This window comes from Homo sapiens, chromosome 7, assembly GCF_000001405.40.
Source record: "Homo sapiens chromosome 7, GRCh38.p14 Primary Assembly".
Classification (NCBI taxonomy): Eukaryota; Metazoa; Chordata; class Mammalia; order Primates; family Hominidae; genus Homo; species Homo sapiens.
In genome coordinates, this window is record NC_000007.14 from 129,716,986 (window position 1) to 129,732,903 (window position 15,918).

At 42.1% G+C, this 15,918-nt stretch overlaps 1 protein-coding gene across 4 annotated transcripts in view; it reads left to right on the forward strand.

The window, feature by feature from the left end:
- The window catches only part of NRF1 (nuclear respiratory factor 1), a 145,357-nt gene that overhangs the window by 105,266 nt on the left and 24,173 nt on the right, over positions 1 to 15,918 (forward strand). For all 4 annotated transcript variants that reach the window (NM_001293163.2, NM_001293164.2, NM_005011.5 and 1 more), the window contains 2 exons: positions 234 to 391; positions 10,256 to 10,380. In NM_001293163.2, the coding sequence (NP_001280092.1) occupies positions 234 to 391; positions 10,256 to 10,380 (283 nt within the window). The remainder of the gene's footprint in view (positions 1 to 233; positions 392 to 10,255; positions 10,381 to 15,918) is intronic.

A 15,918-nucleotide genomic window follows, 5' to 3' on the forward strand; every position in this document is an offset into this window, starting at 1 on the left:
TGTCCTTCCAGAATTTCTTCATGCAAATGCAAGCAAATTCAGGTATATATTCTAATACCCCCTTTTTTATGCAAAAGGTAGCATGCTTAAAGCTCTGTTCTGTATATTGCAGGTCATGTTAATTTTAAAGAGTATGTGTATTTAGCCAAAAAGTAGCAATTATTAGAAAAATTACTTGTAAAATTGTACTTTTGTGGCTTTGTTTTTTTACTATCTTGTCCTTTCTGCCTCAGGTGGAACAAAATTGGGCCACGTTACAGGGAGGTGAGATGACCATCCAGACGACGCAAGCATCAGAGGCCACCCAGGCGGTGGCATCGTTGGCAGAGGCCGCAGTGGCAGCTTCTCAGGAGATGCAGCAGGGAGCTACAGTCACTATGGCGCTTAACAGGTGGTGGCAAGAGTGTGGGAATAAGTGAGGATCGCAAATCTGTCCCTGCAGATATGGGTGGAGGCCCCTTAAAGAGAAATGTGTCTCTGTTTGCCACAGTTGGCAGTTGGAACTTAACACTCTTGGCCCATACGATATTGTAGTTTGGCCTATAATAGGTCAGTCCTTACCAAGAAAAATTAAACTTCTTTCCTTCAGGTGTGCTTAGGAAAGGTGATGTGAAATGGAATCCTCCAGTAAAAGGTAGTTTCCAAAACTCAATGTATTGTTTCCTGCTTAGTTCCTTCTACTGGCTGTTGATGGAAAGATCATCTCCGCATCATTCTTCACTCCTGCCGCCACCCAGCCCCAACAACCAGTGTAGCCTTTCTGACTTCCAGCCCAAGCTGGTCAAGCCTTCCCGTTTATCCTATTCTGTGTCCAGTAAGCAGAAGCAGTAAGGCTTGAGTGCTTCATGTTTTCAAGGGATACAGAACAAATTAAGAGGCTTCGGATTATTGTCCTTTTGCCCTACAAAAGAAACTGCATTTTGTTGGGGGTATTAATCCATGTTTAAGCAGCAAATGGCTGATTTTACTTGCTTTTGAGAAAAATGTGTTGCCCTTGCTTATCAGCGAGCTCAAGATAAATAAGTTTTGGATTATTGGGGAAAATAATGAACTTTTTTCTTCAGGTATGTTAGGAAGGGTGCTGCCAAATGGGATGCTCCAAGAGGTGGTTTCTGAAACTCGATTGTATTATTCCCTGCCTGGTTCTTTCTACTGGTTGTTGACAGGAAAGATCAGCTTCATATCATTCTCCCTCTTCTTCATTCCTGATGCAATTTTATTTTTAATGGGCTCAGGGATTTAAATTAATGGTCAAGAGTGTGAGCCTTGACGCCAGACTACTTGGGTTTGAAGCCCAGCTCTGTCACTTACAAGCTGTTTGGCATCGAGCAGTTGATTTGAACTCTCAGTAGCCAGGCTCTCCTATTCTGTAAAATGGGAGTGATAACAGTACATTCTTCTAGGAGTGTTATGAGAACTGAATTACTCCATGTGAAATCCTTAGGTCAGTGTCTTGTATACAGTAAGGGCTGAACTCTTGCGGCATGCCAGCTCTACTGGGTAAGGCTGTAAATAGAGAATAGAGTGCTCTAGCATATACTCTGCCCTCAAAGAAATCATACTCTTATTGCGGAGACTGATTTAAGTAAAACACTTAGCAAACAGTATTACTTAGAGTGTAACTCACTATTGAATTGTATGGTAAAGACTGTGAACGTTGTAGAAATTCAGAGGAGGGTGATCACCTCCCCTAAATATAAAATCAGTGAAAGTTTAGATTGATTATGATAGATACTAGAGAGCTGTGATGGATTTGTATACAGTTCACTGTATGAGGCTGTATAGTATGGTGGCTGAGAGCAGGGTTCCAACGTCACATAGATTCAGGTTTGAATCCTGGCTCCACCATTTGATCCTGAGAAACATAACCTCTGAGCCTTGTTTTCCCCATTGTTATAATGAGGATAAGACTCATCACACAGAATCATGTATATGAGATAATATAGATAAAATTCTCATCGCGGTGTCCAACCTATAGTTAGCATTTCAAGAATTATAGTTATTATCATTTAAGTTGTATTTTAAGAGTTGTCTATTCTGAATTGATTATAGTGAGAGGAGATTAGAAGATCAGTTAGGAAGAGGCACTCCAGGAGCGCCTTGTTAAGGTCTTGGAAACTGAAGTAGTAAGAATGGAGGTAAAGTGATTCTTTTTTTTTTATTTGAAACGGATTTTCACTCTTGTTGCCTAGGCTGAAGTACAATGGCATGTTCTCGGCTCACCACAACCTCCGCCTGCCGGGTTCAAGTGATTCTCCTGCCTCAGCCTCCCAAGTAGCCAGGATTACAGGCATGCTCCACCACACACGGCTAAGTTTGTATTTTTAGTACAGACAGGGTTTCTCCATGTTGGTCAGGCTGGTCTCAAACTCCTAACCTCAGGTGATCCACCCGCCTCAGCCTCCCAAAGTGCTGGGATTACAGGCGTAAGCCACCACGCCCAGCCTAAGTGATTTCATTTTAAAAGAAGTATGGCCAGAGATTGGTGGTTGATTAGGAATAGGAAACTGAAACACACACACACACACACACACACACACACACACACACACACACACAACACATCTTCTCAGAGTTACCTAGTTAGTCCCTAGTGATCAGAACATTTTTTTCAGCCCATTGAGCCATGTTGCTCTTGTTGCTCTTCATTTCTTTTTTTCCCCCACTCACGTATATACTCATCATGTTGCTTTTCAGTAACATGAAAGTCTTACTTGGTTCCTTACACTTGGCTCAATTCTACCCCTCTCTTTGAGAGAAACACCCAGATAAACTTCCTGAAAGGCATGGCCAAGTGAGACCCTCCGTCCCTTTAGTCCAGTAACACCCCCCATTCTCCGCCCGACTGTAGCTTGGGGTCTAACAGGCCCTCATTAAAGACCAGCAAAACTTGATTTCATTGAGACTTGCAGCCAACACCTTGGATATTCCAGTGAAGTGTGTGTGTCCTGGGAACTCTGTACATAGTGGAAAATATGAGGCACATTTGGGCTCTCTTTGTTATAAGGACCAGGGCTTGTTTCTAAAGGCAAGCGGGTAATGGTATCCCCTGAGGGCTTGTTAACAAACTTAGATGCAGCTGAGGTGGCTCAGTGTTTACTCCAAAGGAAGGAGAATGTGTTCACTGTGGCATAGAGGAGGAATAAAGAGATGTTGAAATCTCTTTGCAATCAGGTAGTTCGATGCCCCAATGAGTGTTAGGGGTTGGTGGATTGCAGCTTCTGCTGGGGATGAAGAAACCAAGCCTGGCAGCAGAGACTAGACTATAGCAGACTATTAGGGGAATATCAGGGCTTTCTGAACCCAACAGAGGTAACCCATGGTCTAATGTCTTAGTCAGGAGGGTTGGATGTAAGAAACAAGCCCTTAACATTCGCTTCTTTGTGGACGAGATGCAGTAGAATCATTTAGTCCTTGCACTCTGAGCCTCTCCACAGAATTTGCTGTTGGAAGTCATCTCAGTAAGAAATACACAGAGAAATCTGGTCTTTGTTCCTATGATGACAAAGCAGTTTCATAATCTGCCCTCTTGCAGCTTGCTCTGTTTTGGGTGCAGATAAAACAAGCATGGTTCTCTAATAACCACCTGCACCTCTGCTGCAATGTAAACAGCAGATGTGGGCGCAGGGTGAGAAGGGAGAGGAAGCTACGTGCAATGGCAGGTTGGGGAATAAGGAGGCAGAGGGGCTCCTTCATCTTTTACAGGGTAAAATGGGATCAGGACAGTTGCAGGACAGACTTGTTTCTCAACCACGCTGTTAAGAGAATTTCATACTGCAAGTCACAAGGGCCCAGGGCTCCACGGCCTTTAGCCCACCCTGGCTTTCTAACAACCCAAAGTGGGTATGGAGAAATTGTCCTTTAAAAACCTAAAAACTATGTTAATTTTCATTTTCAAAATAAAGAATAAATCAGCACTTTTGGAAAGGAGGTGGGAAGGGAATCAAAGTGAACAAATGAGCAGAACATCACAGCTTTAAAAAAATTTGTGTGTGTATGTGTGTGTATATACATACATACATATATATAATACCATATATATGTATATAAAAAATAGCTTATATATAAGCTATTTAGCCTGAACAACCAGAGAGGAAAGGAAGTAATATTATCATTTACTTGTGATACAGTGATTAATTTGAACTTTCAGTTCTTTGGTTAAGCTGTCCTGGACTTGTAGTTCCTCTTAAACATGTCCTTCTACAAACCCATTTCCTGAATATGGCCAGTATAGTCCTTGCATGTAGAGATCATGATTTGGCTTTGTAGACTTACTCTACGTTTCTAAAGTAGTGGAAACTTACTTGATAGTATATTGTTAACACTGAGACAGTATTTATTGTGTGTCTACTGTGTGCAGGGCTGTGACTCAGTGCTATGGGGAAATATTTAGATTAATTCCTCTTCTCAAGGAATTTTAGAATTTGTCTTTTTTTTTGTTGTGAAGATTTTGCTTTTAAAAGTCATATTTTGAAAGAAAAATTTGCTCTTAGTCTTTTTTTTTTTTTTTTATTGAGACAGAGTCTTGCTCTGTCACCCAGGCTGGAGTGCAGTGGCGCGATCTCGGCTCACTGCAAGCTCCGCCTCCTGGGTTCACACCATTCTCCTGCCTCGGTCTCCCAAGTAGCTGGGACTACAGGCGCCCACCACCACGCCCAGCTAATTTTTTATATTTTTAGTAGAGAGGGGGTTTCACTGTGTTAGCCAGGATGGTCTCGATCTCCTGACCTCGTGATCCACCCGCCTCAGCCTCCCAAAGTGCTGGGATTACAGGCATGAGCCACCAGGCCTGGCTGCTCTTAGTCTTTAAGATGAAATATTATTGACTTAAAATTAGACATATTATTAAAATAAAATGGGGCTTTTATATACGGAGTGATATTTGTCCAATAAAATGGGATGGAAAACTTAGATCAGAAATCTTCTCTGGAAGAGAAGTCAGGGATGGTACAACTGCTTTTCTTTCCTACAGGTAAAGATTAGACGCTTACAGATAAAAGGTTGATGGAAACCTCTTATTTATAGCTTTGGTTTTGAAATGACTTTTGTCTAAAAATTGTGAAGTGGTCTAGCTCAGGGCCTTTTTAATCCCTATTCACCTTTTTAAGTGAACATAATCTTTTTCTAGGCTGGGCGTGGTGGCTCACGCCTGTAATCCCAGCACTTTGGGAAGCCGAGGTGGGTGAATCACCTGTGGTCAGGAGTTTGAGACCAGCCTCAACATGGAGAAACCCCGTCTCTACTAAAAATACAAAAGTAGCCGGGCGTGGTGGTGCATGCCTGTAATCCCAGCTAGTCGGGAGGCTGAGGCAGGAGAATTGCTTGAACCTGGGAGGCGGAGGTTGCAGTGAGCCGAGATCACACCAGTGCACTCCAGCCTGGGCCACAAGAGCGAAACTCCGTCTCAGAAAAAAAAAAAAAAAATCTTTCTAGCAGTTTAGTTTGGTCGTTTCCCATAAAGTTGAGTGTAAAAGGTTAGAATCACTCTGGAAATGATAGCCCTGCTTACCATAGGCATCATCGTTGTCTTCATGCCCCACGTAAAGACCTTAACTGGGGACTGAATAATTAATCGTACTGATCTGTCAACCTGTCACCCCCATTGCATTGGACCCCTCATCCCTGGCATTCCAGATTGTTTTAGGTTGTTGCTGGTTTTCAGCTTTTCTTCTACCATACCACATTTTAGAAAGAAGTTAAAGAAGATAACTTCAAGTTTTTAGGGCTTTAAGTGGAAATGAGTATGATCAGTTGCAGGTACACTTTCCTGTCAAGGCTTGGGGAGCTGCCCTCTCCCTTCACTGCCCATGAAACTCATTCTGCCAGAGTGTGTTCAGGATGTACAGGAGTGGCAGGATGTCATCTTTGATGGTCATAAAGATGAGATTATTGTAAATTGTAAGAATAATTACAGGAAATAAGCAGTCACTGAGGTGACCTATAAACAAAGATCCTAATTCCATATAAACAATTCTCATTTACAGTTTTCTTCTTCAGACTATCACACAGCTTTTTCCAAAGAGTATACTTTTCTGCTTTCCATAAAGTCTCAGGTCACAGCGTAAATATTTGTATCATTAATCATTGACAGGTGGATGCTGTAAAATTGGCTGGTCATATATTTATGTATCTTTTTCTTTTTTTTTCTCCGACATAGGTAATTAATAAAATTTCCAGGCCGGGTGCGGTGGCTCATGCCTGTAATCCCAGCACTTTGGGAGGCCGAGGCGGGTGGATCACCTGAGGTTGGGAGTTCGAGACCAGCCTGGCCAACATGGAGAAACCCCGTCTCTACTAAAAATACAAAATTAGCCGGGCATGGTGGCGGGTGCCTGTAATCCCAGCTACTCGGGAGGCTGAGGCAGGAGAATCGCTTGAACCTGGGAGGCAGAGGTTGCGGTGAGCCAAGATCATGCCATTGCACTCTAGCCTGGGCAACAAGAGCGAAACTCTATCTCAAAAAAAAAAAAAAAATTTTTTTCCCAGTGGTTGGTAGTAGTGTTTATTAACATAACTTTCTTAGCAAAATATTAAAAATTAAGGGCCTAGGTACTAAAAAATATTCATTAAAGTCTCTCTAATAAATACTTTAAAGCACTTTAAAATTAAATTCTGTCATGAAAAATGTAAAGAACAGTCTTAGTAGTAATTCCAGATCAAGGGTCTCCTGTTGAAAAGACAGTCCTTTCCCTATTGAATGGTGTTGGCACCCTTGTCAAAAACCATGTGACCATATAGGTGAAGGTTTATTTCTAAGCTCTCAATTTTATTCCACTGGTCTATATGTTTGTCTTTATGCCAGTACTATACACTGTTTTGATTACTACAGCTTTGTGTTAAGTTTTGAAATCAGAAGTGTGAGTGGTGGTGCTGGGAAAACTGGATATCTACATACAAAAGAATGAAGTTGGACCTTTACCTAACACAGTGTATAAAAATTAACTCAGAGTGGTTCCATGACCTACAACTATAAAACTCTTTGAAGAAAACATGGGGCAAAACTTCATGACATTGGATTTGCCAGTAATTTCTTGGATATGGCAAAGGAAAAATAGACAAATTGGACTTTACGAAAATTCTTAAAATGTGTGCATCAAAAGACTATCAGTAGAGGAAAAAGGCAAGCCACAGAATGGGAGAAAATATTTGCAAATTGTATCTGATAAGGGATTGATATCCAGAATATATAGGGAATGTCTAAAACTCAACAACAACAAAAACTCTATTCAAAAATGGGCAAAGGTCTTGAATAGACATTTCTCCAAATTTCTCCAGAGAAGATATGCAGATGGCCAATAAGCACAGGAAAAGATGTGCAGCATCACTAATCCAAACTACAATGAGATATCACCTCACACCCATTAAGATGGCCACAATCCAAAAAACAGAAAATAACAAGTGTTGGTGAGGATGTGGAGAAATTGGAACCCTTGTGCACTGTTGGTGGGAATGTAAAATGACATAGCCACTGTGGAAAACAATATGATAATTCATCAAAAAGTTAAAAATGGGACTACCGTATGTTGCAGCAAATCCACTTCTGGGTACATATCCCAAAGAATTGAAAGCAGGATCTCAGAGAAATATTTGTATGCCCATGTTCACAGCAGCATTATTCACAATAGCTAAAACATGGGAGCAACCAAGTGATCATCGACAGATGAATGGATACACAATGGAATATTATTCGGCCTTTAAAAGGAAGGAAATTCTGACAAATGCTACGATGTGGATGAATCTTGAGCACATTCTGCCAAGTGAAATAAGCCAGACACAAAAGGACAAATACTGTGTGGTTGTATTTATGTGAGATAGAGTAGTCAAAATCACAGAGACAAAAAATAACTCAAAATGGATCTAAGACCTAAAACTATCAAACTCTTAGAAGAAAACATGGGGGCAAAATGTAATGACATTGGATTTGCCTGTGATTTCTTAGATATGACAACAAAGGCACACACACCTATAGTTCCAGCTATTTGCGTCAGGAGGCTAAAGCAGGATTGCTTGAGCCCGGGAATTCAAGACCAGCCTGGGCAGCATAGCAAGATCCCATCTCTAAAAAAATAAAAACAAAAATGAAAAAATCATCGAGGCAGAAAGTAGAATGGTGGTTGCCAGGGGCTAGGGAGATGGTAGAATAGGAAGTTTAATGGTCCAGTTTAAAGTTCCAGTTTTACAAGATGAAGAGAGTTGTGGAGATGAATGATGGTGATGGCTGCACAGCATTCTGAGTGTATTTAACTCCCTGAACTGCACACTTAAGTGTTAAGAATGTAAATTTTATGTGCATTTTACCACAACAAAATAATTTTTCAAACTGTACAGTACAATCCTAATTATTATCTTTTTTTTTTTTTTGAGACAGTTTCACTCTTATTGCCCAGGCTGGAGTGCAATGGCATGATATCGGCCCACTGCAATCTCCACCTCCCGGGTTCAAGCAATTCTCCTGCCTCAGCCTCCTGAGTAGCTGGGATTACAGGCATGCACCACCACACCTGGCTAATTTTGTATTTTTAGTAAAGACGGGGTTTCTCCATGTTGGTCAGGCTGGTCTCGAACTCCCGACCTCAGGTGATCCGCCCGCCTTGGCCTCCCAAAGAGCTAGGATTACAGGCGTGAGCCACCATGCCTGGCCTTATCTTATCTTTTTGAAGTTGTATTTAAGATTAGAAGGAAATAATTATGATATTTAAAATTTTCTTTTATACTTAATAGAGTTTGCTCAAACTTTCTATAAAAGCAAGTATACTGCTTTTATTATCAGAAAAAGATAACTGTTTAAAACACAGGCATAAAAATTAAAAAGCAAGACAAATTAGTAAGAAGAGGAAATTCTTCTATTTAATGACACTTTTCTGTCCATTCGGTTTCTTTTCCTGCTTCCTAAAATCCTTACAGTGACCAAGAAGTCTTTTGCAGGGGAATTACTATATCTGTTGTTTTACTTGTGTGCTGACTGTCTTAGGTAAAGGAGACTGTATTGAGTTTGGTACATGTTGCTTTGCCCACAGTCCTAACATGTTTACTCCAATTAGTCCCTGTCCCCTTACCCACCTCCACTTACGGCTTGTGCTTACAAGACCACTGCCATGTTACAGCAAATCCTGCAGCTTCAGAGCAAAGCTGACTCGACTGGCTTATTTGTCCACTTCTGCTAAACTAAATGGCACCACCATCTCTATTCTGTGCCTACTGGAATTCGATAGTCCCTCAGTAATTGCAAATTGACACCTGATACTTTACCAGAAGGGATAATGAAATTGCCTGTTTTTTCACATTTTTACATCTCTGAAATTTGGATGGCAAATTATAATCTTACAATTGTCAGGAATTTTTCTTCCTTACTGGCCCATGAAATAATAGTATGTCTTACAGTTTGTAGCATCATAGAATCAAGAAAAATGGGTATTTATGCACATAGTAAAAGCATATAGCAAGGAAAAGAAAGAAAAATGGGACACACTGCTAAAATAGTACTTGCTATAAACAAATGGTTAATGTCTTCCTATTCTACAGAGCATTTGTGCTATGTAGGGAGGTTTATTATTTTGTTGTAATTATAGAGGCAAACTGTATTTATACAGTTTGGACTTGCAGTGATAATTTTAAACTTTAAGTCTTTGTTTTAGCCCTGCCTGGATATACAGTGAGTCAAAGGGAAGAGCTGGACTTTTCAGGATATTAATCAGCCATTACTCTGTATTTGAAAAGCATAACTATAAATCAAATTAATATTTAGTGTTAATTGAAGAGTGAGTCCAGGTTGCTGCTGACTCCTCATATTATCATTCATCCTTGGCTATAAAAGGACAGTCTCAGATGGTCTGCCTTATGTTACTGTGAGGAGAAAAGAGAAAAGGAAAACCTTGTGATTGACAACCAAAATGGCTTTTGCATTGTGAATATGGATCAGAGCTTTCACTATGGCTTGCAAGCACTCAGCTGATATTGATAAGGAAGAAACTGATAATGAGTGCCTTCTGTCCTCAAACACTCAATTACCGAGGTTCTGAGAAACTCTCACCATTAGCTTTATAGCTATGTAAGACTTGAGATTTCTCTAGCCATTAATATTATTTCAAAATTACTCTTGGCTTTATCTATTAGCACTGTTATCACATATTTGCTGGTAGGATCACAACCATGGAGTCAGTAGAAAGACCCAAGGAAGGCATTGAAAGGATGGTTTGTCTTGGCTGCAGTGCTGTTCCTCTATTCATCATCCTCTCTCCTGTTCCTGTGCCCGCAGCGAAGCTGCCGCCCATGCTGTCGCCACCCTGGCTGAGGCCACCTTACAAGGTGGGGGACAGATCGTCTTGTCTGGGGAAACCGCAGCAGCCGTCGGAGCACTTACTGGAGTCCAAGATGCTAATGGTAAGAGAGCATAAATATTTTATTAAATTTCTTCCCTGTTTCCACTTAAACCTTCCTGACATGACTGGCAACAAAGCCTTCAGAAAGAGTTTGAGCTTCGATTTTTTTTTCTTCATTGGTAGACATTTCATGCCTAGGAATATTCTGGGAGCCTGTGATTCCTTTCACTAGTAGGAAACATGGGGGTTCCTGAAGGAAAATACTGTGATAATGGCTACCTAATTGAATTGTTACTTAAAAAGTGATTATCGTCTTGTGACAAGACTTGCTGAGAAGCACCTTAAAATTCACTGTGAGCCACATTTTGTCTTTTACTGTCTCATCGGATAGGGTAGATCAATGTCCTTTACTGTAGCAGAGACTCTCTCATGGGCAGGACCATCATGGAAAGTTCTGACTACATCAAGAAAGGCGCCAATGTCTCACCTGTGCTTGGGGTCAGGCAGCAGGCTGTGATGCCGGTGCCTCTCTGGTTGGTACTGTGGTTCTGCTTCCTGTTATATGTAGCCTCACGAAGGACCTTTGGATTTAGCCAATTACATGCCCCTACCCTGAGCTTCTTCCCCAGCTCTTTGACTTCCTGGACATTGGTGAATATCCTGAATAAGCAAAAGGGATAAAATTCATAGAAATATGGTGGCAAAAATATACAACTTCAGCCCAGTTCTTTGGGTCCATGTTGGTAAGGAGTCAGTTGGCAAGACAAGCTGCCCAAGGAAGTGCCTCAGAAGTCTGGGTCAAAGAGGAGGGCCAGATCTGTTCTGTGAGACCCTATGTGATTGTTATATTTTTAAATAATATATAATTAAGCAGGACAAATTAAATACTCCATGGCTTTGGGGAAATTGTTGCTTTAAAGTCCTGGAATGGGGCTGGGCACGGTGGCTCATGCCTATTAATCCCAGCACTTTGGGAAGCCAAAGTGGGTGGATCACCTGAGGTCAGGAGTTCAAGACCAGCCTGGCCAACATGGCAAAACCCTGTCCATGGTGGTGTGCGAGGCTGAGGCAAGAAAATCGCTTGAACCCGAGAGGCAGAGGTTGCAGTGACCTGAGATTGCGCCACTGCACTCCAACCTGGGTGACAGAATGAGACTCCGTCTCAAAAAAAAAAAAAAAAAAAAAAAAAACCAATCCTGGAATGAGGATAGATAAATAACATACTTTCATCATGTAGGCAGAAGGTTCCTTAATGGCATTAGTGGCAGAAAGAAAAGTACCTGGCACTTTGTTTATGGTAGGTGCCTAAGAACCGAATGCTCTGTTAGTTGGAAAAGTCTTTGAAGAAAGACATAGTGCTGTGTCCTCCTTTGGAATAGGAGGAAACAAAGTACCTCTGTCCCGCCAGAGAAGAATAACATAGGAAATGCAAAGAGCCATCGTGGCTTCTGAGAATCATTTTCCAAAGATGCCAAACAAATTCAATTCTAAAACTATAGCCTACTTTTTCTGTAGGGAAAGAGGCTTTTGTGCTTATCTAAATCTAGACAGAGTTGATCTCAACCAGAATGCTGTAGGACAAAGGACATCTTATAGCCACACATGTTCAGGATGAAATGGACCATGGTTGGAATTAAGGAGAACCTCTCTCTCTAGCTAGACTCCTACTTCTATTTTTTTACCTTTTTCTATTCCTCATCAGAGTCCTAAGGCACCCTGAGCAAAGGGTAGGATATCTGGCTTATGTGGCATTCATGTGAAGTGTGATTGCTCTTATTCACTATGGAACTGCTAAAAATAACTTCCCATGTGGGTTCAGTAGGAAACTTTATTATCCATTCTAATCGACTTGACCTGTCTGGGAGAGAACAGACTGCTTTATAATTCTGGCTCCTCCCCAGCATCACCTTTTCAGATGGATGAATTTATAATAAGTCCAAGGACCCTCTGGCTCTCGGCCAAGTAGAACCGTTCAGCCATACAATAAAGTTGAACCACACCCGCTACTATTGATTACTGGAAGCTGCCTCTTTTCAGTAGCATTGGGTTGTGTGAATCATTTGGTGTGATTTCATGTTGTTGGCTACATTTGTGATCTGGGAAAATTCTGGTTCGCATCCTAAAAGCCAGTATTTCCCCCAAAGCAGGCCATCCTCAGTCTGTGACTGCCAGTACTTGCTGAACTCAGGCCTTGAGAGTTGGAAGTTATCTCTTTCTGAATGCAGCATTTCTGTATCAAATCAGACCCTTGAGTTGTGCCGTATCCCAGCAGTTTTAGGCAAAGGCCAATCATTTCATCTGCCCTTGGGAATCCAAAGAATGAATCTCATATGGGATATGATCCAAGTAACTTTGATAATCCTCTTATCTTCTAACATTTTTGCCCACAGTGCTATAGTATTTACTTTGGGATTGGAACCAGATTTTTCCCTCTTAATCAGCAATTTTGATATCTGGCTAGACTTTTAGAGGTTCTCTTTTTCATCATTCTTTCGGATTCTGTCCTGTTGCCAGAGTTTGTTGCTTCTTTTTGTTTTTGTTTTTGTTTTTTGAGACAGAGTCTTGCTCTGTCACCCAGGCTGGAGTGCAGTGGCACAATCTCAACTCATTGCAACTTCTGCTTCCTGGAAGTTCCAATGATTCTCGTGCCTCAGCCTCCCGAGTAGCTGGGATTATAGACGTGCCACACCACGCCCAGATAATTTTTGTGTTTTTAATGGAGATGGGCCATGACTGGTCTTGAACTCTGGCCTCAGGTGATCCACCCACCTCAGCCTCCCAAAGTACTGGGAATACAGGCGTAAGCCACTGTGCCGGGCCTATGTTTGTCACTTCTGGGCAGACAAGCTTATGGTATCTGCCAGTAGGTCACATTTTTTTTTAATCTTTTTTCTTTTTTTAATAGAAATGAGGCCTCTCCATATTGCTCTGGCTGGTCTCAAACTCTCGGGCTCGAGCGATCCTCCCACTTTTGCCTCCCAAAGTGCTGGGATTATAGGCATGAGCCACCACACCCTGTCCAGGCCAAGTTTTTTTAATCAGAAAGAGTTTATTATCAGGAAGAACCAGATGATAGCAGAACAAGGTGCTGTTTGTTGACATAGAACTAACTTGGAAACAGATACTACTTAGGGGAAAACATGTATCCCATATTTCAGAGTATGGTTTAAATCAAAATTGGAATAGCAGATGACTCTTCTGAGAGCAATTTGGATATCATTCAGTTCTGAAGTAGAAAGAGTTTGTGGGATGGAACTAGCAGGGATAGAGGACCACTGCATGTGGAGCCTGATGAAGTCCATAACCATTGGGAAGTGGCGCGGGCGGGTGAGGTTATGAAGCAGTATCCTAGGGGATGGTGTTTTTCAAGTTAGAGATAATGACCCATAGGCCAGGCACAGTAGCTCATGCCTGTAATCCCAGCACTTTGGGAGGCCGAGGTAGGAGGATTGCTTGAGTCCAGGAGTCCAAGACCAACCTGAACAACATAGTAAGACCCCATCTCTACAAAAATTTTAAAAAATTAGCCAGGAGTGGTGGTGCACACCTGTAGTCCCAGCTACTTGGGGGTCTGAGGTGAGAGGACTGCTAGAGCCCAGGAAGTCAAAGCTGCAGTGAGCCATGATCACACCACTGCACTCCAGTCTGGGTGAGAGATCAAGACCCTGTCTCAAAAAAAAAAAAAAGCCAGGCTCAGTGGCTCACACCTGTAATCCCACTACTTTGGGAGGCCAAGGTGGGTGGATGACCTGAGGTCAGGAGTTTGAGACCAGCCTGACCAACATGGTGAAACCCTGTTTCTACTAAAATACAAAAAATTAGACAGGCATGGTGGCAACACCTGTAATCCCAGCGAATCGGGAGTTCCAGGCACGAGAATCGCTTGAACCCAGGAGATGGAGATTGCAATGAGCTGAGATCATGCCACTGCACTCCGGCCTGGGCGACAGAGCAAGACTCCGTCTTGAAAAAAAAAAAAAAAAAGGTAATGACCCATGCAAGCCAGAAGTTTAAATTTTGGATCACCAAAGCAGACCTGATGAAGACATTGCACCTAGCACCTGCGCACCCTGAAGACTTCTTTCTGGACATGTACCCCACACTACCCCGACACTAAAGGAACTACCCAAGCACTCACATTACTTTATTTCTATGTTCTCTGTCTTTTTCAATAGAGTCTTTGGTCTCTTAGGATGGAGTTTCATGGTTCGGTTCAATATAAAGATTTTCACAGATGCCTTTTCATTTAGATGTAGGTAGAATTGCCTAAGGCTGGTGAAGGCTACCAGATTAATTCCTTCCTTTACTTGTTTGTTTGTTTGTTTGTTTGTTTGTTTGTTTTGAGACAGGGTCTCACTCTGTCACCTAGACTGGTTCACTGCAGCCTTGACCTCAGGCTAAAGCTATCCTCCCACCTCAGCCTACTGAGACGCTGGGACCACAGGTGCGCACTGCCACACCGCGCTAATTTTTTAAATTATATTTTTTGTAGAGATGGGATCTCCCTTTGTTGCCCAGGCTGGTCTCAAACTCCTGGGCTCAAAATGATCCTCCCGCCTTAGTCTCCCAAAGTGTTAGGATTATAGGCATGAGCCACTACACCCGGCCCTTTACTTCATTTTTTGAACATAGTTATCTCAATACTCTTTTCATCTTATACACCTTAATGTAAGAAGTCATACAGTTCAGCCCATTTGTTTTTCTTCACTCTGCCTTCCTCTCTGCTGGTCCCCAGAACCCCCTGTGTTCCAGGACTCCTGACCTCCAGGACTGACAGATACAGGCATTCACTCAGACTTGAGGAGCTCTTTGCTGAGTGCCTCTCACCTCTCACCCAGACCTTAACACCCATTGTTGGCAAGCCTCAGAAAACCAGGCCTATAGACCTTTCTCTTCCTTCCTATTGCAGCAAACGTAATGAAAGAGAAGGATTATATTGGGACTTGGCCACCTCAGAAACACTCTTCTGTCTGAGATCTTATTGCAGATTTATACAGCTATCTTTCATTCCTGAAAAGTAGATGGGGGAAAACAAAATAGATTAACAAGTTCGTAAGTATTGGTTGGTGCAAAAGTAATTGTGGGTTTTTTTGCCATTAGAAGGAATGGCATATTTGAAGTTGGTGCAATTACTTTCACACCAACCTAATAAGCCTCTTAGCAGAGCTGCTAAGAAAGCATCAGCATTTTTTAATATAGCTGACACTTTTCCTAATGATGCTACAAGAAAAAAGAGAGGATGTAGCATTTGCTGGTTTGGAGTGGGGTTTTTTTGGGTTTTGTCCTTTGGGGTTTTTGTTTGTTTGTTTGTTTTTGAGACGGAGTTTCACTCTTGTTGTCCAGGCTGGAGTGCAGTGGCTCAATCTCAGCTCACCGCAACCTCTGCCTCCTAGGTTCAAGTGATTCTCTTGCCTCAGCCTCCCGAGTAGCTGGGATTACAGGCATGTACCACCACACCCAGCTATTTTTGTATTTTCAGTAGAGACAGGGTTTCTCCATGTTGGTCAGGCTGGTCTCGAACTCCCGACCTCAGGTGATCTGCCCGCCTCAGCCTCCCAAAGTTCCAGACCAGCCTGGGCAACATGGTCAAACCCCATCT